This window comes from Homo sapiens, chromosome 15, assembly GCF_000001405.40.
Source record: "Homo sapiens chromosome 15, GRCh38.p14 Primary Assembly".
Lineage (NCBI taxonomy): Eukaryota > Metazoa > Chordata > Mammalia > Primates > Hominidae > Homo > Homo sapiens.
Window position 1 is genome coordinate 62,193,898 of NC_000015.10, and position 25,203 is coordinate 62,219,100.

General features: G+C 41.6%; 1 long non-coding RNA gene across 1 annotated transcript; it reads right to left on the bottom strand.

Moving 5' to 3' along the window:
- Nucleotides 1-2,263: 2,263 nt before the first annotated feature.
- LOC107984784 (uncharacterized) lies at nucleotides 2,264-9,421 on the bottom strand. The gene is made up of 4 exons (NR_148210.1): nucleotides 7,860-9,421; nucleotides 4,907-4,977; nucleotides 3,032-3,149; nucleotides 2,264-2,865 (listed from the first exon to the last, which is right to left on the bottom strand). It is a non-coding gene; the product is annotated as an uncharacterized LOC107984784 (long non-coding RNA).
- Between the last annotated feature and the right edge of the window lie 15,782 nt (nucleotides 9,422-25,203).

A 25,203-nucleotide genomic window follows, 5' to 3' on the forward strand; every position in this document is an offset into this window, starting at 1 on the left:
CTCAGTTTGATAAGATGGGGCAACATTCATGATGGACGTAGACAGGAATCATCATAGGATCTGAGTCAACTGTTCACAGCACAGCATCCAGAGGTTGCCTCTATACCTCTGCTCTGGATTAGAGTATTCTTCCAAGTCTGTTTCCATCCCTGGGAGTTATGAAAGTTCCCCAGTTGAGCTAGAGCTCTGCTTCATCCCTTAGGCTTTCCAAGAGTTGCTAAAGAACAACAGTTGCTGCTTAAAGAAATTGAGAAAAAGAGCTATGAAATATTTTTTATGAAAATGTTTTTTTCTTCTCCACAATAAATATTGTAAATGACAAAACTTGGTTTAGCTTAGAAAAATGTTTTCTCTTAAAATGTCAATTTTCTCTGCGGTTTGCATTTCCTTTAAATGCAATTTCTTCAAAGACTGCTAGCACAATCTGCCAAGTCCCTGTGCCTTCTAGTCTTCAGAGTTCTATGTGCTGTAAAGATGCTCCCTTTGAGAGAGTAGTAGGCAAGGAAGGGGATTCCCAGAAAGCAGTGACAAAAAATAAATAAATAAATAAATCAACAACTCCATCAAGAAGGCGAAACCAAGATTATAAACGTTGCTCTTTGAGGAGGAAAGCTATCTTCTCCATGTTTTGCAAAACATTTGTATCACTTCCAAGTTCTATCAAAGCCAAAATTTTGAAGTTATGCTGAAGTTATATTCTTTGTCCCACCTCGTTCTTACGGACCCACACCAAACAGATAAACATTAAAACCTTAATTATTGAAGATTGTAACAGGGGTACTAAATGTCAAGCTTTTTCTCAGACATTTCCAACTGTATTATTTCTTTCATGACACAAAATAGTTTTGTGTAACTATATGTTCCTGGGCAAATAATGTAAACTCTCAGTGCCTCAGTTTCATAATTTGTAATAATGTGGGTGGAATACTGGGGCCATGAGAATTAAATGAATAAAAAACAGAAAATCATTTAGAATAATGTTGTCTGGGGTGTAGAAAGGTTTGCATAAATGGAAGCTCCTGTCTGTGATGGACAAACACTGGATACAGTAACACATGTGACAGGGTAAGTTGTTCATTTTCACTGATTGGGGTGCTTTAACAAAAGAAAAGTTAAAAATCTCCCTTTCTTTATAGAAAGGCAGTCAGATATTTGTCTTGAGTTATATTTTTCTCGCTCCTCGGTGAAAGGTGACACCACTTGTGCGTTTCGAAGCAGGTAGGATGAGCTAATCTGAAGAATCTCCTTCTCTCCCACTGCCATCGATTGGGTGACAGGGGCCCAACAAGGTTCTAAGGATGAATTATCCAAGTTGAGGAAAAGATGGAGTTTGGCAGCTGGGACTTCCAGTTCTGACAGTAGCTAACAATGCCAGCCTATTCACATTGGGCATCCCTGAGGCAGGGGCATCTTGGAAAGGGGAAAGCATCATGATCCAGTGAGTAGGCTGTGGCCGTGCACAGAACTACTGAGAGCAGCAGTGAAGTACGTTCACTGTAGCCAGCCCAGCCCTGCCCCGGGGGAGTGGAGCCACAGGTGGGGTTGGCTGAATTAAAACTACACGGCCACCTGTAATCCCAGCACTTTGGGAGGCCAAGGCGGGTGGATCACGAAGTCAGGAGATCGAGACCATCCTGGCTAACACGGTGAAACCCCATCTCTACTAAAAATACAAAAAATTAGCCGGGCGTGGTGGCAGGCGCCTGTAGTCCCAGCTACTCGGGAGGCTGAGGCAGGAGAATGGCGTGAACCTGGGAGGCAGAGATTGCAGTGAGCCGAGATTGCGCCACTGCACTCCAGCCTGGGCGACAGAGGGAGACTCCATCTCAAAAAAAAAAAAAAAAAAAAACTACAGGGCCTGGACAGGGGCATCTTCCAAACAACCCAATGGACTAAGACCAAAGATGACCACATTCCCTTTACCCTTTTCTCAGAGTTCAGACCCGAGGCCCTGGTACAGTCTAAACAGTGAAAGATCCTCCAATAGTAACACAAAATATAATACTTCTTGCAGCCCTTTACAAGTGAGGGCTCGAAATCACATGACATTTTTGCATCCTAGATAGTAAGAAGAAATCTTTACTACATATAGAACTAAATAGTCTTTAATTTGTATTGTGTTTGAAAGACATTTCACACAAATAAGTGCTTTGTCAGATCATATGTCATCATAAGTACACTTTATTATAGCTCCTTGGCATCACTTTGAAATAAATACATTGTGAGATGGCAAACACCTCAAGAAGGTTTTCTTTTTTTTTTTTTTTTTTTTTTTTGAGATGGAGTCTCACTCTGTTGCCTAGGCTGGAGTGCAGTGGCACAATCTCGGCTCACTGCAACCTCCGCCTCCCATGTTTAAGTGATTCTCCTGCCTCAGCCTCCCGAGTAGCGGGATTATAGGCACCCGCCACCATGCCTGGCTAATTTTTGTATTTTTAGTACAGACGGGGTTTCATCATGTTGGTCTGGCTGGTCTCGAACTCCTGACCTTGTGATCTGCCTGTCTTGGCCTCTCAAAGTGCTGGGATTACAGGTGTGAGCCACTGCGCCCGGCCACCTCAAGAAGGTTTTAATGCAACATTTACATACCTTCGTGCTGGGCACATAATAGCACCACTAGTTACATAAGTGGAAATCCACAATTTCGAAGAAAACTCCTCATGATACTACACTTGATCTTAGCCAAAAGGCTGAGAAGCAATATCCTCCACATGATAGAATCCACCTATCTCATACTTGTACACAAAAGCACACTTTCCCTCCCCCATCAAGAGACAACCAAATGTCACACTGTGGGGCCCTTGCTCCAGTGTCTCTAGTTGGTGTCCACTCATCTTCTATATGAAAAGCCTCCTGGAATGGGACCTGTGGACAACAGTAGATTTGTTAAATAAAGAAAAACACACCTCTGTAATAAAATCATTAAAATCAGTGTCGTAGAAGATTAGAAACTCAGAAAAAATAAAAGAAAAAGATTACAAGACAGTATTGTACTAAGTATCCAATTTTTGAAAAAAAAAAAAAACTATACATGGGTAAACAGTATGAGAATATCCAGGAAAATGACACCAGCAAGTTAACTCCGGATGACTGGGATTAGAGGTGATTCTAATATTTCTTTATTTGCTGATCTGAATTTTCTGGTTTTACTAAAATGAAGATGTATTTCTTTTATAGTAGAACCTCTCTCTTCTGCTCTAAGAAGTAAGGTAAGAGAGAGAACTAAAGCTACTTTAGACAATGCATTTGAGTGATCAATAGCTAAAGACATCAGGGATGGAACTTTTAAATGGAGGTAGTGTATTACGAGTTGCCATTTCAGAGCCTGGGTACCTGGAAAAGCACAAGTGTGGGTAAAGGCGGTTTAGATGCTTGGTAGGTTATATTGCATGAGTTCTCTAAAAGCCCAAGAAAAAATGAAAAGGCGTAGTTTTCCCTAGTTACCTTATATGTCAAATGCTAGTATAATAAGTAAAGCCGTATAAATAAGGGCTTGATAAGAAAGCATTGCATTTATAAAGAGTGGGGAAAACAAGAACCATGAGTCTGTGGGAGAATAAAATCAGGCCCGGTCCAGAGTGGTGCACGGAACGAGCCACAGGAGTAACGTAGTGGTATGGATCTGTGTGGCACTGAGCATTGGACAGATGGGTCCCTGCCCATTTCCCAGGAAGAAAATCAAGTGTCTCAGGTGATGTGCACATTAGGGGGAATGAATGTGCGGAGGTAGTTTACACTGAATGACATGTTTTGATTTTGGTTATTTTGCTTCTTGACCTTTAAAAGTACTCAGTATCATAATTAATATGCAGTCAATGGTTACCTAGAGAGGTTCATTTGGAAAAAACACAAACAGCTTAAAATGGATTCAGATGAATCCAAACTAAGGAAAGCTCTTTGGCTACTTCCAAATTTCAAGTTTGTTTTCAGGTCAGAGGAAAACAAAAGAGTAAAAGCTTTCTTCACTCTCAGTTTCTTTTTTTTCTGTTTTTTGTTTTGTTTTGTTTTTTAAGAGACAGAATCTCGCTCTGTCACCCAGGCTGGAGTGCAGTGGCATGATCTCAGATCACTGCAACCTCTGCCTCCCGGGTTCTAGCAATCCTCCTGCCTCAGCCTCCCCAGTAGATGGGATTACAGGCACATGCCAACATGTCCAGCTAATTTTCTGTATTTTTAGTAGAGACGGGGTTTCGCCGGGTTACCTAGGCTGGTCTCGAACTTCTGAGCTCAGGCAATCCACCTGCCTCAGCCTCCCAAAGTGCTAGGATTATAGGCGTGAGCCACCACACCTGGCCCACTCTTAGTTTGTTTAGTTTTATATTCTTGTCTCACTATCTCTGTGTCTTCCTCTGTCTTTCTCTAAAACATTCGGGCCCTCCTCACTCATAAGGTTTTGAATTCTTGAAGAGATACTAAATCAATATTTAAATGAACACTGATCAAACATTATTCTGTACCACAAATTAAAATTGAATGTTGCTTTACAAGTGCTATAAATCTTGTAGTTTGCTAAAAAGGGAGTCAAATGGGACTTTTTGGTTACATCTCACCTCTATCAGTATTTGTGGACCACTAAAAGGCTTGGAGAGGAAGACCAGAGGGAAAGGGCAGAAGCTGAGAAAGGGGCACTGAATGTATTGGAGAAATAGCATGGTACTGAGTTAGGAACCAGATTCTGGCCCCAGCACTGCATGACAAGTTAACCACATTTACTACATATATGCATTACAAGTTAACCATATGTAATCCCCTCAGCAACCCCATGACAGGGCTATTATTAGTATCATTGTCATCCTCCTTGTATAGAACAGGAGACAGGCCCAGAGCATAAAACCCTTAGAATAATGCCTGGAATATCATTACTGCTATTTAAGTGTTGGTTTAAAGACTCAAGTCAAGACTATACCTTGTGTATTTCCAAAGAACTAAGTTTCAGCCAGTACTGCTTCTAAACCAAGGAGCCAAGTTTTTCAGTCTCTGAGAAATCAGAGTTACCATGAATTAATTTCAAACTAATAAATTGAGATACTCAGCTGCTTATTCACATTTCATGCTTTTAATAATCACACCCTCGTTTAAAAATTTCCCAGTTTGGAGACTAGTACCACAGATGAGAAAAAGCTGCCACTGATTATCTGACTTATACCTTGGCTTAATTTAATCCAGCCCATATGCAGAAAACCACTGTTTCTCCAATGAATTGCTCTTGAAAAATATGAAAATGTTAATATCCTTTCAAAGTATTTTGTGACTATATTTTAGAACAGAGAGTTGGTAAACTTTTTCTATAAAGAGCCAGATAGTAGATATTTTAGGCTTTGCTGGCTACATAATGCGTCTTTTTTTCAACTATAAAACCAACTCTTTAATAATGTAAAAGACATTTTCATCTCAAGTGGCCAGACCTAAATTTTTTAATGTGAGCTAAGAATAGGTTTTTAAAAAATTGTTAAAGGTATATTTAAAAAATAAACAAAACAAAGGAGTATAAGTGACAGATACTGTATGAGTCCTGCAAAGCCAAAAATATTATCTGAAATATTTACTACAAGAAATATGTACTATGGAAAAATTTTGCTGACCCCTATTCTGGAGAATCATAAGTTAAGGGTATTATTATAAATAATTTAACTTCTGTTCCCATTTTTTGTAGTCTACAAAGCTAGCTTGTTTCTTCAAACAACACAATCATCTCCAAGGATGCAGAAAAAGCATTTGATATTGACAAAATTCAATATCCATCCCTGACTAAAACTCTCCAGCAAACTAGTAAGAGAACTACCTTAACCTGATAAAAGACATCTACAAAAAACCTATAGCTAATATCATTTTTAATTATTAAAAACTGAATGATTTCCCCCTAAGTTCAGGAAGAAGTAAAATATGTTTGCTTTCACCATTTCAATTCACCACTGTACTGAAGATTCTAACCAGTGCAGTAAGGCAAGAAAAAGAAAAGCCATCTACATTATATCAAAAAGACACCCGCACTCATATGTTTATCACAGCACAATTCATAATAGCTAAGTCATGGAAGTGGCCTAAGTGTCCATCAATGGACAACTGGATAAAAAAAATGTGGTGGCCGGGCACAGTGGCTCACACCTGTAATCCCAGCACTTTGAGAGGCTGAGTCGGGTGAATCACAAGGTCAGGAGTTCAAGACCTGCCTGGCCAACATGGTGAAACTCCATCTCTACTAAAAATACAACAAATTAGCTGGGCATGGTGGCAGATGCCTGTAATCGGAGCTACTTGGGAGGCTGAGGCAGGAGAATCACTTGAACCGGGGAGGCAGAGGTTGCAGTGAGCCTAGGTCGTGCCACTGCACTTCAGCCGGGTGACAGTGTGACACTCCATCTAAAAAAGAAAAAAAGAAAAAAGAAAAGAAAGAAAGAAAATGTGATATATTTATATGTATCCCTTGGAATGCTACTCAGCCATAAAAAATAATGAAATAATGCCTTCTGCAGCAACATGGATAGAACTGGAGGCCATTATCCTAAGTGAAATAACTTGAAAACAGAAAGTTTCTAAATTATATATTCTCACTTATAAATGGGAGCTAAATGATAAACACACACAGACATACAGAATGGAATAATAGACATTGGAGACTCCAAAAGTGGGAGGGAGGTAGGGAGATGAAAAATTACCTACTGAATGTAGTGTATACTATTCAGGTGATGGGTACGCTCCAAGCCCAGACTTCGCCACTACCTTAATATACCTATTTAACAAAACCATGCTTGTACCCTCTAAATCTATAAAAATAAAATTATAAAAGAAAAGTCATCTAGATTGGAAAGCAGATAAAACTATCTTTACTCACAAACAACAGGATTAGCTATGTAGAAAATGTCATGGAGTCTTCAAAAAAGCAGCTAACATTAAGAAATTTAGCAAATTTGCACAATACAAGGCAGTATACAAAAATCAACTGAATTGGCAAATATTAACAATTACCCAGAAAATGAAATTTTAAAAACAATACCATTACAACAGCATTAAAAAACAAACTACTTAGTATCCTAAGACAAAGATGTTCTGTACTTGACAAAAGATATGCAAGATCTGTAACTGAAAACTACATTGTTGAGAGAAATATAAGAAAACCAAACTAAATGGAGAGCTATTCCATGGCTCATGGTTCAAAAGACTCAGTATTGTTAAGATAGCAATTTGCCTAAAATTGAGCTACAAATTCAGTGCAATCCTAATCAAAATCCCAGCAAGCACTTTTGGAGAAATTGACAAGCTTACTCTAAAATTCATAGGAAAGTACAAAGGACGTAGAATAGTCAAAATTACCTTAAAAAGAAGTCAGAAGATAAATAAAAGCCACCTGATTTTATGACTTATTTTTTCTTGCCTTTTTCTTGTCTTTCTACAGTAAAGACAGCATAATGTTGGCATAAAGATCAACAATTAAATCAATGGAACACAATAGACAATCCAGGAAAAAAAAACACACATGTATGGACAAATGATCTTTGACATAGTTGCAAAAGCAATGCAGTGGAGAAACAATGGTCTTCTCAACAAATAATGTTGGAACAATTGGATATCCATGTACAAAAAATGAACTTTGAGCCATACCTGAAGTGCCCTATACAAATCTTGATACCATACACAAAAATGAACTCAAAATGGATCATGGAGCTAATATATAATCTAAAACCATAAAACTTCTAGGAGAGTTCAGGCACGGTGGCTCACACCTGTAATCCCAGCACTTTGGGAGGCCGAGGCAGGTGGATCATATGAGGTCAGGAGCTCGAGACCAGCCTGGCCAACATGGTTAAAACCCTGTCTCTACTAAAAATACAAAAAAATTAGCTGGATGTGGTGGCACATGCCTGTAATCCCAGATATTCAGGAGGCTGAGGCAAGAGAATCGCTTGAACCTGGGAGGTGGAGGATGCGGTGAGCTGAGATCGCGCCATTGCACTCCAGCCTGGGCAACGAGAGTGAAACTCTGTCTCAAAAAAACAAAGAAACAAAAAAACAAAACACCAAAACTTCTAGAAGAAAACAGAAGAAACCCTTGTGATCTTCAGTTAGGCAAAGATTTTTTAAAATACTGCACCAAAAATGCAATCCATAAAAGAACAAATTGATAGACTGGACTTTATAAAAATTAAAAATTTCTGCTCCTTAAAATACACTGTTAAAGACAAGCCATATGTTGGGAGAAAATATTTGCATATGATATACTTGATAAAGGGCTTGTATCTAGAATATTTTTAAAGAACTCAAACTCAATTTTACAAAGGGGCATGGCAACAGATTTGATCAGACATTTCACCCAAGAAAATATGTGAATGGCAAATAAGCATAAGAAAAGATGCTCCACATCACTATTCATTTAGGAAATTGAAAATTTAAACCACAATGACACAAATACTCAACTCTGATGTACAAAATAGTTTATAATAATGTATCAATAGTGGTTTAAAATTTTTTATGCTGACAGTTATTGTTGTGGGGTGGGATTCCAATATATCCTAAAGTACAGGTAAGCTGTTCTCTTACCCCTCCAAACAGCTTCACCCTAGGACTTACTTGTGCCTTCAGGCACTTGGAGAGCAGCATTTTCCAGACACAGCCAAGCCAGCTGATGTGGAAAGTGGGAAGACCCAAAGCATTTTCTCCTATGAGAATCAGAAGTTCTTAGTGCAGGCGAGATGGTGTATTCACTCACTGAGGGACAACTTGTGTTCTGGCAAGTCAGTCCCAGGGTGAAAAGTAGAGGTTGAGCCTCTGTTCCCTCAGAGTCCTGGATGTTAAAAAGTGTCACAGTAGCCCTCATCCTGCCCTGATTACACTGGCTCTTTGCCACAGCAGGCTTGTGTTTCCCATTTATGGAGGAAGAGGCTTCTTGGATCCTCTGGGCCTCTTCCTCATTTGGACACTCTGTCTTTTTCCTTCTATGCAAAGCCTGGTTCATTTCTGCCACAAAAGGGCTCCATCCAAGTCCAGCATTGATCTCACTTTTCTAGAGAATCCAAACTAGGAGTTTTGGAAATCTTCAAGGTCACATTCCTCCTTTTAAAAATGTCTTATAAATGAGGTAACAGATCCCATGAGATAAGGTGACTTTCTTAGGGCCATGCAGTTAATAATTTGCTTTATGCTCACCTTAACACTAATGGCAATTAGATAATCTAATGGCTACCGAGGGACATATGTCCAAGATTTTCAGTCCCAATCTCAAATGTTCTGTACAGCTATCAGGCCACATTAAGAATTTTACTACACAAAGAAGCACAGCAATTACTATTCAGACATATTAAGAGAACCCTTTTGGAAACAATCAATCTATTCCCATCATTGAATCCAACTTTTCAACTCTAAAGTACTGGCTTTCAACTTTTTAGCATCATCAACCCCATTTAGGAGGCTAGTGAAAGCTATGGACCCTTTCCACGCACAAAAATTTACACAAAAACAAAATTTCACTGCAGTGATTTAATATGCAATATATGACAGCGAAAACACTTGGTCTGATGGTAGAAATGTCAGCATATCTGCTATGTGGCCAGGGCATTTTTTTACTTTTAGTTTAGATTCAGGGTGTACATGTGCAGATGAGTTACATGGATATATTGCATGATGCTGAGGGTTGGGCTTCTATTGACCTTATCACCCAATTAGTGAGCATAGTACCTAATATGTAGGGTTGTTTTTGTTTTTGTTTTGAGACGGAGTCTCGCTCTGTTGCCCAGGCTGGAGTGCAGTGGTGCGATCTCAGCTCACTGCAACCTCCGCCTCCCAGGTTCAAGCAATTCTCCTGCCTCAGCTTCCCGAGTAGCTGGGATTACAGGTGCCAACCACCACGCCTGGCTAATTTTCATATTTTTAGTAGAGACGGGATTTCACCATGTTGGCCAAGCTGGTCTCAAACTCCTGACCTCAGGTGATCCACCAGCCTCGGCTTCGCAAAGTGCTGGGATTACAGGCATGAGCCACCGTGCCCGACCTATTTTTTAAAACGCTTCCCCTCTCCTTCTCTTCCCCCTTTTGAAGTCCCCAGTGTCTACTGTTCCCATCTTTCTGTCCATGTGTACTCAATATTTAGCTCCCACTTTTGAGAAAATGCAGTATTTGATTTTCTTTTTCTGTGATAATTCACTTAGGATAATGGCTTCCAGCTGCATCCATGTTGCTGCAAAGGACATCATTTCATTCTTTTTATGGCTGCGTGGTATTCCATGGTGCATATGTACCAACTTCCTTTATCCGGTCCACTGTTGATGGGCATTTAGGTTGATTCTATGTCTTTCCTATTGTGAATATTGCTGCGATAAACTAATGGGTACAGGTGTCTTTTGTAGAATGATTTCTTTTCCTTTAGGTATATATCCAGTAATGGGATTGCTGGGCTGAATCGTAGTTCTATTTTTAGTTCTCTAAGAAATTTCCAAACTGCTTTCCACAGGAACTAAACTAACTTACATTCCCACCAATAGTGTATAAGCTTCCCCTGTTCACCAAAAGACCAGGGAGAAAAGTAGGTTACAGATCATTCTCTCTTCCCTCCCAACAGTGCAGGTGGATGCAATTAGCCAATTAGCTGGGTCTGGCAGGAGGATGAAGACATATCCAAATGGTGGATGGTAAACACACATATATTTCAGTCAGGAAGGAAACCTCACCAACACTTGCGATTTTTTGACTTTATTATAGCCATTCTGACTGGTGTAAGGTGATATCTCATTGTGGTTTTTATTTGCATTTTTCTGATGATTAGCAATGAGCATTTCTTTATATGTTGGCTGGCCATTTGTATATCTTCTTTTGAGAAATGTCTGTTCATGTTCTTTGCCCACTTTTAAATGGGGTTATTTGGTTTTGTTTGTTTGTTTTTTGAGACGGAGTCCTGCTCTGTCGCCAAGGCTGGAGTGCAGTGGCACAATCTCGAAGTAGCTGGGACTACAGCGCACGCCATCATGTCTGGCTAATTTTTTTTATTGTTTGTATTTTTAGTAGAGACAGGGTTTTGCCATGTTGGTCAGGCATGTTTCAAACTCCTGACCTCAAGTGATACCCCTGCCTCAGCCTCCCAAATTGCTGGAATTACAGGTGTGAGCCACCACACCCAGCCTGGTTATTTGTTTTTTCTTGTTCAGTTATTTATAGATTCTGGATATGAGTCCTTCGTTGGATGCATAGATTGCAAATATTTTCTCCCATTCTGTAGGTTGTCTGTTTACTCTGTTGATAGTTTCTTTTGCTGTGCAGAAGCTCTTTAGTTTAATTAGGTCTCGCTTGTCAATTTTTGTTTTGTTGGTTTTGTTGTGTTTGTTTCTGAGGTCTTAGTCAGAAATTCTTTGCCTAGCCCAATATCCAGAAGAGTTTTCTTCTAGGATTTTTATAGTTTGAGGTCTTAACATTTAAGGCTTTAGTCCATCTTTAGTTTTATTCTTCTGCATATGGTTAGCCAGCTATCCCAACACCATTTAGTAAATAGACTGTCCCTTCCCAATTGTTTCTTTTTGTCAATTTTGTAAAAGACTAGTTGGTTGTAGGTGTGCAGCTTTATTTCTGGGTTTTCCACTTTGTTCTGATTGTCAGTTTTGAACCACTAGCCACTAACCATGCTGTTTTGGTTACTGTAGCCTTGTAGTATGGTTTGAAGTCAAGTAATGTGATGCTTCCAGCTTTGTTCTTTTTGCTTAGGATTGGTTCAGCTATTCAGGCTCTTTTTTGGTTCTATATGAATTTTAGAATCTTTTTTTCTAATTCTGTGAAAAAATGATATTGGTAGTTTGATAGGAATTGCATTGAATCTGTAGAATGTTTTAAGCAAAGTGGGCATTTTAATGAGATTGATTCTTCCAACCCATGAGCATGGAATGAATGCTTTTTCCATTGGTTTGTGTCATGTATGATTTTTTTCATCAGTGTTTTGTAGTTAGTTCGCCTTGTAGAAATCTTTCACCTCCTTGGTTAGACATGTTCCTAGGTATTTTTGTGTGTGTCTCCTGTAAATGGAATTGCATTCTTGATTTGGTTCTCAGCTTGAACATTATTGGTGTATAGAAATGCTACCAATTTTTGTACATTGATTTTGTATTCTGAGGCTTTCCTGAAGTCATTTATCAGGACTAGGAGTCTTTTGGTGAAACCTTTAGAGTTTTCTAGACATAGAGCCACACTGTCAGTGAAGAGAAGTAATTTGACTTTTTTTTTTTATGAAGACTTGCTTTATAACCAAGGCTGTGGCCGACCTTAGAGTATGTTACATGTGCAGATAAGAAGAATCTATATTCTGTGGTCGTTGGGTGGAGTATTCTGCAGTTGTCTGTTAGGTCCAGTTGGTCAAGTGTCCAATTTAAGCCCAGAATTTGTTAGTTTTCCACCTTGATGATCTATCTAATGCTGTTAGTGGGGTGGGGTGTTGAAATCCTTCACTATTATTGTGTGGCTATTTTCTTAGGTTTAGGAGTAATTGTTTCATAAATCTGGGTGCTCTAATGTTAGGTGTGTGCATGTATTTAAGACAGTTAAATATTCTTGTTGAGTTGAACCTTTTATCATTATGTAATGCGCTTGTCCTTTTTAACTCCCTGTTTGGGGGTCTTCTACTTTCCTTGAGGTGTTTCAAGAATCATGGGAAAGTTCCTCTCAGGTCTAAAACACTGTCCTCTTTTGTATTGCACTACTTGGTCCCCTTGGCTTTTAGGGTTACCAGAGATTACTTGGTACTGTGAGAGGACTAGACCTTGGTGTGTGTGATGGCTAGAAGTTATGAGCAACTGTTTATAGTGTTAGATGGCTAACAGCAGTGTTGTTTACAGGAAATAGTTATTATTACAGGGGACTACTTGGTTCTTTGTGTTTGGATAAGAAAAGCATGGTTTAGTCCTAAAAACTGCTTACTTCCTTTTGATTTTTGTAAAATGGGATCTCATTATGTTGCCCAGGCCAGTCTCAAACTCTTGGCCTCAAGCAATCCTCCCACCTCGGCCTTTCAAAGTCCTAAGATGACAGTGTGAGTCACTGCACCCATTGGCCCTGTTTCTTAAAGGGCTCTACCCTAAAGCCAGTAATCTGGCTCTAGAATTAAGAGACAAGCTAAGTTAAAAAACAAAACAAAACAAAAAAAACCTATCAAACTAAATTAGTCTTGTGAAACTCTTTGTAAAAAGAAATTTATATCTTTAAAGGAAACTTCCATTTGTAAGGGCATCTCTGTCTCTGCACCTAAACCACTAGGCACTTTAACTATGGGGAAGACAACGAACTAAAATTTATATAATAAATCTTATCTTTGTTTAGATCTACGTTTGTGCCTTTGAGACATACCTTTTCTACCGGTTTCACCTAACTCATGTCTTTGGAGATGCAAATTTACAGTGGTATAGCTAACAGTTGTTTACGGTATGTAACAGGCATTCAAGTTATTAATAGTCTTTAAAGTAGGGGAGAAGCTTTGAAAACTGCAAATGCAGGATCTTATTGAGAGGTGACAACGTGCTAGCAGCCCTCGCTAGCTCTTGGCACCTTCTCTGCCTCGGCATCCACTCTGGCGGTACTGGAGGAGCCCTTCAGCCTGCCACTACGCTGTATGGGCCCCTCTCTGGGGCTGGCCTATGCCGGAGCCCTCTCCCTCTGCTCGTGGGAAGGTGTAGAGGGAGAGACGCCAGCGGGAGCCGGGGCTGCGCGTGGTGCTCGCCGGCCGGGGCAGGTTCCTGGTGGGCACGGGCTGGGCAGGCCCCGCACTTGGCGCGCTGGCCGGCACCTGCTGGGCTTGATGGGTGATGAGCTCACTCTGGACTGCGGGAGAGCCCAGGCTAGGTGCCAAGCAAAGTCCCGCGGCGAATGCCATTCAGAGTCAAAGCCGGCTGGGCTTCTGCGTCCCTGCGACTTGGAGAACTTTTCTGTCTAGCTAAAGGATTGTAAATGCACCAATCAGTGCTCTCTGTCTAGCTAAAGATTTGTAAACCCACCAATCAGCGCTCTGTGTCTAGCTAAAGGTTTGTAAATGCACCAATCAGCACTCTGTCAAAATGGACCAATCAGGACTCTGCAAAACGGACCAATCAGCTCCCTGTAAAATGGACCAATCAGCAGGATGTGGGTGGGGCCAGATAAGGGAATAAAAGCAGGCCACCCCCTACAAGCAGTGGCAGTGGGCTCCAGTGCTCTTCCACTTTGGGGAAGCTTTGTTAGCTGACTGTTGGCAATAAATTTTACTGTTGTTCATTCTTTCTGTCCACGTTGCCTTCAAGAGCTGTAACACTCACTGTGAAGGTATGCAATTTCACTCTTGAGGCCAGTGAGACCACGAATCAGCCAGAAGGAACAAACAACTCTGGATGTGCCACCTTTAAGAGCTGTAACACTCCCCATGAAGGTTTGCAGTTTCACTCCTGAAGTCAGCAAGACCACAAACCCACCAGAAGAAACTTCGGACATATGTGAATCTCTGAAGGAACAAACTGTGGACACACCACCTTTTAAGAACTGTAACACTCACCATAAGGGTGCCCGGCTTCATTCTCAACGTTAGTGAGACTGAGACCCCAGCAATTCTGGACACATAAATGTATAAGGTGTGCTTCTGTCTGTGTGTTTGTATGTCTATTTTTTTGTTTGTTTGAGACGGAGTTTCACTGTTGTTGCCCAGGCTGGAGTGCTATGGCGCAATCTTAGCTTACCATAACCTCCGCATCCCGGGTACAAGCGATTCTCTTGGCTCAGCCTCCTGCATAGCTGGGATTACAGGAATGTGCCTCCACGCCTGGCTAGTTTTATATTTTTTTCAGTAGAGATGGGGTTTCTCCACGTTGGTCAAGGTGGTCTTGAACTCCTGATCTCAGGTGATTTCCCTCCCTCAGGCTCCCAAAGTGCTGGGGTTACAGGCATGAGCCACCATGCCTGGCCATGTGTATATGTTTCTAGTATCATTTAGATATAGTTCACTACCGAGTTATATGAAAGAGCTCTAATCAATTGGCTTAAAGAAAAGTAAGTGCTTCAATGAAATATTTTCTCAGGAAAATAGAAGCTAGTTCAAATGCCATTAATTCATGTGACTTCAATGATCTTTGTTAAATAAAACTAGTCTCTAAATTCTCTTCAGTAATTTAATTTTTAAAGTCATGTTATTGATAGCAACAGGAGACAGACAAATTCCTAGGCAGACAGGGACGGGTTGCTGGTAAGGCTCGACCTTCAACCTGAGGACTGAGCAGCTAGTTCTGGATAGAGTCCACGACTGGAGTGAAAACTTCTGTCCCCATCTTATCCACTTTCTCTCAATTGGTTCCTTCTGGATGATGCCTTTTAACCAATCAAATGGTGCTCTCTCCAAGCCCACCTGTGGACCAATCAGCATGCATTCCCCCATTCTAAGCCCATAAAAACCACAGACTCAGCCTCATAAACAGCTACCTGCTTTCTTGGTCACGTCTCACAGCTGAGACCTTTCCTTCTGTAGCTCAATAAAATTCTTCTCTGCCTTACTCGCTCTCCAGTGTTTGCATACCTTATTCTTCTTGGAACCCAGAACTTGCTAAGCTGCAGGGAGCAGGAGTGAAAAAGAGCTATAACCCTCCCTCCTGCTTGCAAAACAACAGGTGAGAAGAAGCCATAGGGTGCCACTCCCTCCTGCTCACTGAATTACAGGAGCAAAAGAGCTGTGACACACCTGGCTGGCTCACTGAGCTGCAGATGGTGCAAGTAAAAGAGCTGTAACACTCCCTCCTGTTCACCAAACTATGGAAGCAAAAAATCCACTGGGTGCTGCTCCCTCCCACTTGCTGAACTACTGGAGAGAAGAAGCCACAACAGTAGGTTAAATTAAGTTACCAAGACCACCTCAGTCATGGAGACCCCAACCCAGCGGTGCTAAAGAATTGAAGACAAAGACACAGAAATAGAGTACAAAGTGGGATCGGGGCTGACGGCCTTCAGAACTGAGAGCCACAAACAGAGTTTGACCCACATATTTATTGACAGCAAGCCAGTGATAAGCATTGTTTCTATAGGTTATAGATTAGCTAAAAGCATTCCTTACGGGAAACAAAGCATTCTTAGCAAGGAGTAGAGAAACAGGTTCTGGCTGATTATCAGCAGCAAAAACATGTTAAGGCACAGCCTGCTCCTGCTATTGTTTGTGGTTTGAGCAGTTTCCCACTTTAGGTGGCCAGGCGTTCCTTGCCCTGCTCCAGTAAACCAACAACTTCTAGCCATGTGCATCACAGCCATCACGAGCATGTCGCGTTGCTGCAGAAATCCTGTTTATGGCCAGTTTCTTTAAGGCCTATTTATGACAGGCTTAGGGCTTGTTCCCAGCATTAAGTAATCCTAGGTTTTTCAACAGAAATGAGGGTTACTAAGAGAATAGTAGTTAATATATGTGATTAAAACTAGTAGATATAAGAGAAAAAAAATTCTACATACAGGGTGTATAAAGTAAGATGTTGATGTAGTTTGGATGTTGTTTCCTCTAAGCTTCATGTTGAATTGTAATCTCCCATGTTGGAGGTGGGTCTGGTGGGAGGTGATTGGATCATGAGAACGAATACCTGATGAGTAGTTTAATGCCATCCCCTTGGTGCTGTCCTCACAATGGTGAGTTTTCACAAGATCTGGTTGTTTAAAAAGGGTGTGGCACCTCCCCCCCCCCCCATGGCTCCTGCTATCACTGTGCGTGACATTTGCTCCCTCTTCAGCTTCTGCCATGATTGCAAGCTTCCTGAGGCCTCCCTAGAAGCTGAACAGATGCCAGCACGATGCTTCCTATAAAGCCTACAGAACCATGAGCCAATTAAACACCTTTGCTTTATAAATTACCCAGACTTTGATGTTTATAGAAATGTAAGAACAGCCTAGTACAGAAAATTGGTACCAAGGAGTGGGGCACTGCTATAAAAATACCTGAAAATATGAAAGAAACTTTGGAATTGGGTGGCAGGTTGAAAGACTTCGGATGGCTTAGAAGAAGAAAGGAAAATGAGGGAAAGTTTGGAGCTTCTTAGAGACCAAAAACCACTTGTACCCCAAAAGGTATTGAAATATATATATACACCACAAAGGTTTTAATACAACACTATTGAAGGTTGGGTAGACCAAAGGGAGAACTTGCTGGTCCTTCAAAATTAAAAATCCCCAAACTAGTTTTTGGTATTTGCCCCAGATTGGAGAAATTTCTTCAATCAGAAGGCAAAGGTTACAATGAGAAAGCTGATTAACAATTGCCTGGGAAAATGTTGAGGCAAATTAGTCAAGATTGACAAAAGAGCCTTGGTCCCCTGGCTCAAGTCACTGCTGAGAACCCAAATCCTTTTTTACCAGAGAGGGTGAAATGGTCTGGGAGTGGAAAAGAAAAAGTTTCCTGGGACCAGAACATAAAAATGTAAGGGCTGATATGATTATGAAGGTTGGAATGTTTAAATAGGCTTTATGTAAAGTACTCATGTCTCTTTTACCTAAATGTCTTATGGAAAATGGGTATTGTGTCTGACTGAGGAATGTTTTCCCTAACTAGTAAGGAAGGAGACCACCTATCCCATTGTCTCCTGTTTCAAAAAGGCAGCAAAAAGTTAAAAAGTAGCAGAAGTGAGATCAATAGCCAGACGGCTTGGCACCAAGAACCAGGTCTGGTAGTTAAAGATCAACTCCTGACCTAACCACTTGTGTTATCTATAGATTCCAGACATTGTTTGAGGAAGACTTGTGAAACCTTCTGTTCTGTTCTGCTAGCCCCCATCACTGATGCAGGTAGCCCTCAGTCACATAGCCCCCACTTGTGCAATGTATCACGACCTTTTCACATGGACCCCTTAGAGTTGTAAGCCCTTATAAAAGGGACATGAGTCTTTACTTTGGGAAGCTTGGATCTTGAGACGTGAGTCTACCTATGCACCCAGCTGATTAAAGCCTCTTCCTTCCTAAAACCGGTGTCCAAGAAGTTTTGTCTGCGACTGGTCCTGCTACACTAGTACTATAAAACAGAAGGCATGTAAATCTGCCCTTCCAGCAATATGAACTGGACATGCTAGGTGGGAAGTGGTGTATCAAGTGAATGAGCTACAGCTGTGACAGTTTAGCATTTTTCTTTGAAACATATGGCTACTTGAGATCATGGGAGTGCTAGAAGCAAGGGGCCAGCAAGTCTGGACACATTCCAAAGGCCAGGAGGGGTTTTACCTTGGACCCTGGACATGTTCGAAGCCCTGCCTCAGCTTCTCTCCCAACACTTAGTGTTTCTCCCAACATGTCCCCCTTTTCTTTTTTGTAAAACTGCCACAGCTATCATTGCTTGTTCTCAATGGCGGCTTTCTCTCCAGCAGTGGCTTCTGCATCTGCAGACTAAAAGAAGACAGCACAAGCACATAATTATTAGAATAAAATCTGCAAGTGTAGAGCTTCCAATGGCCTTAATCCATTTAAGAGGATTGATTGTAGACAACCCATTGGCTGTCTTGTTCAAAGTATCAGTTCCAGGGAGCAGGGCTAAGTGAGCCTGAGAGGCTTCAAAAACCTGCTCTTTTAGTTTTACTATCTTTAGGATGAGATTTTCATCTCTGCCCTCCAGATGGCATTTAAGAGTAACATAACACAACTTCAAATCCAAAAGGTCCTCTTTTTGTTTTTAAATTAATTGAGCAAGGCAATTGCAGGCTGTGCAGCCCTTAATTGCTGGTTGGTGATCCAGCTTCATTTTTCTTAGCCCTTATTCAAAATGGAGTCGCTCTGGTTTGAATGCTTCTTACATATTTCCCCCTTCCCTTTTACAAGAGGACCCTTAATTCTAATGGTTGCAGAAGGATGAAGGTCCATCTTCTGTAACTTCTTCATGCTGAATAGGGGCAATGATATTCCTGCCTAACTATTAGGGTCTCTTGTATTCAGGGTAGAGAGGAGTTCAGTCAGAAAGCATTGGTCTATTAAGCATCCGTTGTACCTCTGAATCCCAGCAAAAGGTAAAACCCTGGTGCTTCAGCAGTTTCTCAGCTTCCTGTGTGGTTTTCTTGATCTAACCCCATGTTATAGGGGTTGATGTCAGCATGACTCTGGTTGGTCCTCGTTCCACATTCACATTCAGATTCAACTGGCTCATGGCTCATACTGGGGGAACCCAGTCCATGGTTTGGATCCATGGGTCCCCCTCATCTCCTGCTCCATGGTTGTACACATCTTGAGGGCACCCACACGGTGTTCATCTCCCGCAAAAACACAAGCATACCCTCACCCCACATTAGTAAATCTAGCAAAACAGAAGCAAAGGCCTTTATTATTACTATTATTATTGCTGAAGCATTTGAAACTCAGCTTCTACCTCTTTGGTTAATTACCGCGGGGTAAAACTTACCATTGATAGCGAGAAACAGGCTTTTTCTGATTAACAGAAGGCATAGAGAAAGCAAACCGAGGCTTGTCCTTCTTGTACAATAGTATAGCAAAAAAGCAATCCTTAAACCTTCAATTTAAAGGTGGGTCCACTAGACGCTGTGGTTCATGATAGATCTTCAGATATTTGGTGGGCACCCACACAGATACCTGATTGTCACCTGGAGAGACACAAGCAAATCCTCTTCCTCATATAATTATCTTTCCTTTTTCCCAACTGTATGTGCATCCCTCCACCATATATCTTGTCCAGCCTTTTTATTTTCCTTTTGTCCTGTCAGGTGTTGTTCAGCTGCAGTCATGTGTTAATCTTATTGTAAATTTAAAAAATTTAATGTTAATAAAGCTAAATGCAGTTGCATATGCTGTGTCTTATATTCCGGTCCCCTCCTTTTTGCTTTTGTATTTGAATTTTTAAAGTACGATTAGCTCTTTCCACCATTGCCTGTCCTTGCGAGTTATATGGAATACCTGTAGTATGGGTAATATTCCATTGTTGAAAATATGTAGCCATGGCTTTACTATAGTATCCTGGGCCATTATCAGTTTTGATTTTTTCTGGGATTCCCATAACTGAAAAGCAAGATAAAAGATGTCTTTTAACATGAGCTATAGCTTCCCCTGTTTGACATGTGGCCCAGATAAAATGTGAATAGGTTATCTACTGAAACATGAACAAAGGACAATTTTCCAAAAGCAAGAATATGTGTTACATCCATCTGCCAGATGGAATTTGGAGCTAAACCTCTAGGGTTAACTCCTATTCCTTGAGGTGGCAGATGCAGGACTTGGCAGGCAGAACAGGGTTGTACAATTTCATTTTTTTTTCTTTTGAGGCAGAGTCTTGCTCTGTTGCCCAGGCTGGAGTGAAGTGGCGTGATCTCGGCTCACTGCAAGCTACACCTCCCGGGTTCACACCATTCTTCTGCCTCAGCCTCCAGAGTAGCTGGGGTACAGGCGCCTGCCACTATGCCCGGCTAATTTTTTGTATTTTTTAGTAGAGACGAGGTTTCACTGTGTTAGCCAGGATGGTCTCGATCTCCTGACCTCGTGATCCACCCGCCTCGGCCTCCCAAAGTCCTGGGATTACAGGCAGGAGCCACCGCACCCTGCTGTACAATTTCTTTAGCTTGTTTCCATGATAGACCACATCTTTTTCTAAGGCCTGCGGCATTAAGGTAGGTTAAAGAATGGAACATTTGTGCATCAGCAAAGACTGCAGACACCAATGCATCCGCCCTTTGATTAAGTTTAGTTAAAGGGCCAGGGAGGTTAGTATGTGCTCTCAGATGAGTGATATAGAGAGGGGAATGCCTTTGTTGTACTGTTTGCTGTAAAGAATGAAATAAAAGATTAAGTTGTTCATCAGTCACACTTCGAATTAAGGCACATTCAATATTTTGTGTGGCTTGCACTGCATAGGCTGAATCAGAAACAATGTTTACTGGCTGTTTAAAAGTTTTTAACACTGTTATCACAGCCATAACTTCAGCCCTTTGAGCAGAAGCAAAGTCAGTTTGAAAAACTTGCTGTTGAGGTCCAGCAAATGAGGCTTTTCCATTACTAGACAGCATTTCCTTTTCTATATTCCTTTTTTGTATATCCAAACTGCCCACAATTAAAGCAAGAGCCTGAGAAACGGGGCATATTCTTCCCCACTTTAAATCCAGCCATAGCCTGAGCTAAAAGAGTAACCTTAAGTAAGTTACCTCCAATGCCATCGCAAGCCTTAATATATTCAGCTAAATGAGTCTTCCCTCTCAGGGGTCTAATAGCAGTTTGACACTCTGCATTAACATTGTGGGATGCAAGAAGCTGTATTACAACATCCTGAGCTGTTTTATCAGTTATGGCTTTATACACAGCCTCTTGGAGCCAAGCAATAAAATCAATATATGGTTCTCTAGGTCCTTGTCAGACAGAACTGAAAGAAGGATATTTTCCCCTGTAACATTTATCCTTTCCCATGCCTGTAAGCACACGGAGTGCAGCTGAAAAATGGCAACATCCTCCGTTACTGCTTGATTCTGTAATCGACCCCAGTTAGGGCCAACTCCCATTAACTGTTCAAAAGAAACAGGCAGAGGTGGCTGTGCTTGTGTGTTTTCCCTTGCCTGAGTTTGAGCTTCATCAGCCCACCAAGTTTTAAACTGTAAATACTGAGACAGAGTGAGAACAGATTTTGTTAAAGTATCCCAATCATATGGTATTAACCTATTACCAAGAGCCACATTTTTTAACAAAGTTTGCACAAAAGGAGAGTTCAGGCCGTAATGACTAATGGCTTGCTTGAATTCCTTTGGTAACTTAAAAGGAAAGTTGGCCCAATTAGCTATATTCTGTCCTTCTTGCTGGGTTATAGTAACTGGAAATTGCCATGCTTCAAGGTCTCCCTTGGCTCTATCTGGCTTTTTGAATAGAATTTTGTATAGCACCACCAATTGCTCCAGGTTTTAATGTTGCAACTACAGGAGCAGTAACTTTTTCACCTAATTCATTTTCTCACCCATTCAGGGGAGAGAGAGGAGGTGGCCACTCACTTAATTCAGCCGGTGGAGCCGACAGGCTAGTAAAACATACTGTAGCTTTCCTTTCTTTTCTTTAATCTCCTCCAGTAGCTGTTCCTCACACTCAGAATCTGAAGTTAGTTTTTTACACTCGTCCTCCTCTTCCTTATCTAAATCTTCCGCATTATCTGTTTGAACGGCTCAAGAACTGCCTTTATTAGTGCCCACATTGACCAAACGGGAACTGGAATTTTTACTCCATCTTTATATGCCTTTTTAAAATCTCTTCCCATTCTCTCCCATTGATCCAACTCCATAGTCCCCTGTTCTGGAAACCATGGGCAAAACTGCTTTACTGTACTAAAGAGTAATAAATTCTGAGTACTAACTTTCACTCTCCCTCTTTGTAATAAATGCCTTAAGAATAAGCTGGCTGGTCGCAGTGGCTCATGCCTGTGATCCCAGCACTTTGGGAGGCTGAGGCGGGTGGATCATGAGGTCAGGAGATCGAGACCATCCTGGCTAACATGGTGAATCCCCATCACTACTAAAAATACCAAAAAATTAGCTGGGCGTGGTGGTGGGCACCTGTAGTCCCAGCTACTTGGGAGGCTGAGGCAGGAGAATGGTGTGAACCCAGGAGGTGGAGCTTGCAGTGAGCCGAGATCACACCACTGCACTCCAGCCTGAGCAACAGAGCAAGGCTCCGTCTCAAAAAATAAATAAATAAATAAATAAATAAATAAATAAACAAATTCAAATAAGCAGAATGTTTGCTTTCACTTTGTCCTCTTGTTCCCCTGGTTCTTCTGAGCACACAGCTTTCCCACAGAGCTTCTTTCAGTCATCCTCGGGTGTCCTCTTATGATGTATCCTCCACTTTCACACACTCTGGTTTTCCTTCACTGGGGTCTTCTTTGCCCCACATTGGGCGCCATGAACGTTGGGGTGATCGGACCCAACACCAGGCCATGGGGGCTATGAAGTCCAGCAGAGTCAAAGGAATGAGAAAAGACAAATTAACAGAGAAAGGGGGACCAGGGGGCCAACGCTAATATGGAGGCTGCAAAGGCCCCAAGCTCTGGGAACCCACGCTATTTATTGGTGATCAAACAAAGAAACAGGTGGTGAGGATGTGGGGGTTGAAAGGAAGCAGTGTATCAAGTGAATGAGCTACATCTGTGACAACTTAGCATTTTCTTTGAAACATATGTCTACTTGAGATAATGGGAGTGCTAGAAGCAAGGAGCCAGCAAGTCTGGACACATTCCAAAGGCCACGAGGAGTTTTACCTGGACCCTGGACATGTTCCAAGCCCGCCTCAGCTTCTCTCCAAACACTCAGCTTTTCTCCCAACAGTGAACAAACATCCTTGTTTGGAAGGCAGCAACTCTGATTCTAAAGTATACTTTTGTGACCCAAATTTACCTTTCTCTCTACCTGAGTTCTCTAAAATTTGGAAACTATTCATGAGTATTCTTATTTTATGGCAGTATAGTTATATTTGCATATGATGGATAAGAATCTGTTTTTTTTTAAACAGGGCACAATTGGAGACATTGGTTATTTTACCAAGGCTTTGATTAGACTAACAAATTTTCAGGTAAAGTTCCAGCAAAGCCTATGTGGCCAAACAATTCTTGCTGCACTTTGTGCAAATAATCAGGTGAAGTACAATAAGGCTAAAACTAATTTTGCACACAGATCAATCTTACTATACTTTCTCTGTAGTAGAAAAGGGGGACTACAGAGAGATAAAAGTTATGTTTCAAAGGAAAACTGTACCACACCTGTTTATACTAGATTCCAGCCCTGACCTTTGTTTTTAAGCTTTGTTATTTGACTAGAATTTGGGCTAACTCCTGAATTATTTCTTGGCTACAATAAGTCTCTAAAGAAGAACTGGGTTGTAATTTTATTCATGATGTTTTAGTTGTTTCCTTAGCGAAATTCCTTTTTTTTTCATTGTGATGCAAAAATTCTCTTTTGATTGTCAAATCACTAATGTTGTCTCTCATTGTTTTACTTCTTTCCAAGACAGCCTGAATCATGATATTCTGAAGACTAGAGATGATTTGACAGAGCCTGCAAATCTCCCTCATTTTGGATCATTCGGCATCCTACTTGGCCTTTCTTAAATTCTTTTTTATTATGAGACAGGGTCTCACTCTGTTACCCAGGCTGGACTCTGTCACTCAGGCTGGAGTGCAGTGGCACGATCATGGCTCACTGCAGCCTCAACCTCCTGGGCTCAAGTGATACTCCTAGGAGCCTCAGCCTTCTGAGTAGCTAGGGCTGCAGGCATGTGCCACCTTGCCTAGCTAATTTAAAAAAAAATTTTTTTTTTTTGTAGAGACAGAGTCTCACTATGCTATGTTTTCCAGGCTGGTCTCTAACTCCTAGGTTTCAGTGATCCTCCTCCTCAGCCTCCCAAAGTGCCGGGATTACAGGGAGTGATCCACCATGCCTGGTCACAAGGGTCATTTTCAAGGCGTAGAATTAGTTCAGAGCATCCAACGCAAGTATGGGCACACAGGTGCCTAAACAGCTAGAAAATTGAAGTACTTTGCCTCCCGGGCCATTATCTGTCTCTTTTTCCATCCATCCCCATGATGGAAAAGTTCCTGCCTCCACCAGAATGAAAAGAGAATTACTGAGGGGATATCAAGATACCTGGTGACAGAGACTTCTGGGTATAGTTGTTCCCAGTTACGAGGCTTATGCAAATAGAGATATTGTTAGAGTGCGTAGCTAGGCAAACATGAATAGGGCAGGAAAGGCCCCTCACACCCAGGAATGTCAGGGTACCATTGTCTGAAATTATTAGAGACCAATGTCTCTCTAAAATAATAATTAGTCACAGCCAGTGCCGGGAGAAGCAGTCTCCCAACAGACAGAAGATACCTGAAGCTGGTGATCAGCAGCTTCCTGATACGAATGCAGAAGTTGGGCAAGTGGGCTCAAACATGCTCACTAAGAGGAAAAATGACAGAGTTTAACTGGTATATGACCTTCCTCTAGGAACACTCAAATGGTAAAGGAAAAATGCCTCGAATGAGCATGTGCACAATTTCAGTAAACACACTGTGCATGTGGCCCTTCCCAGGTGCTGACAAGCCACTGCCCATGTGGACAGCCCACCCCAAGGAAAAATCAAGAGAGGGGAGAAACAAAACCCCAGAAGCATGCCAAACTTATAAGTCCGTCCGGGAGGGAGGTGGGGGGCGCCTCCACCCGGCCGCCGCCCCATCCGGGAGGTGGGGGGCATCTCTGCCCGACCGCCCCTTCTGGGAAGTGAGGAGCCCCTCTGCCCGGCCGCCACCCCGTCTGG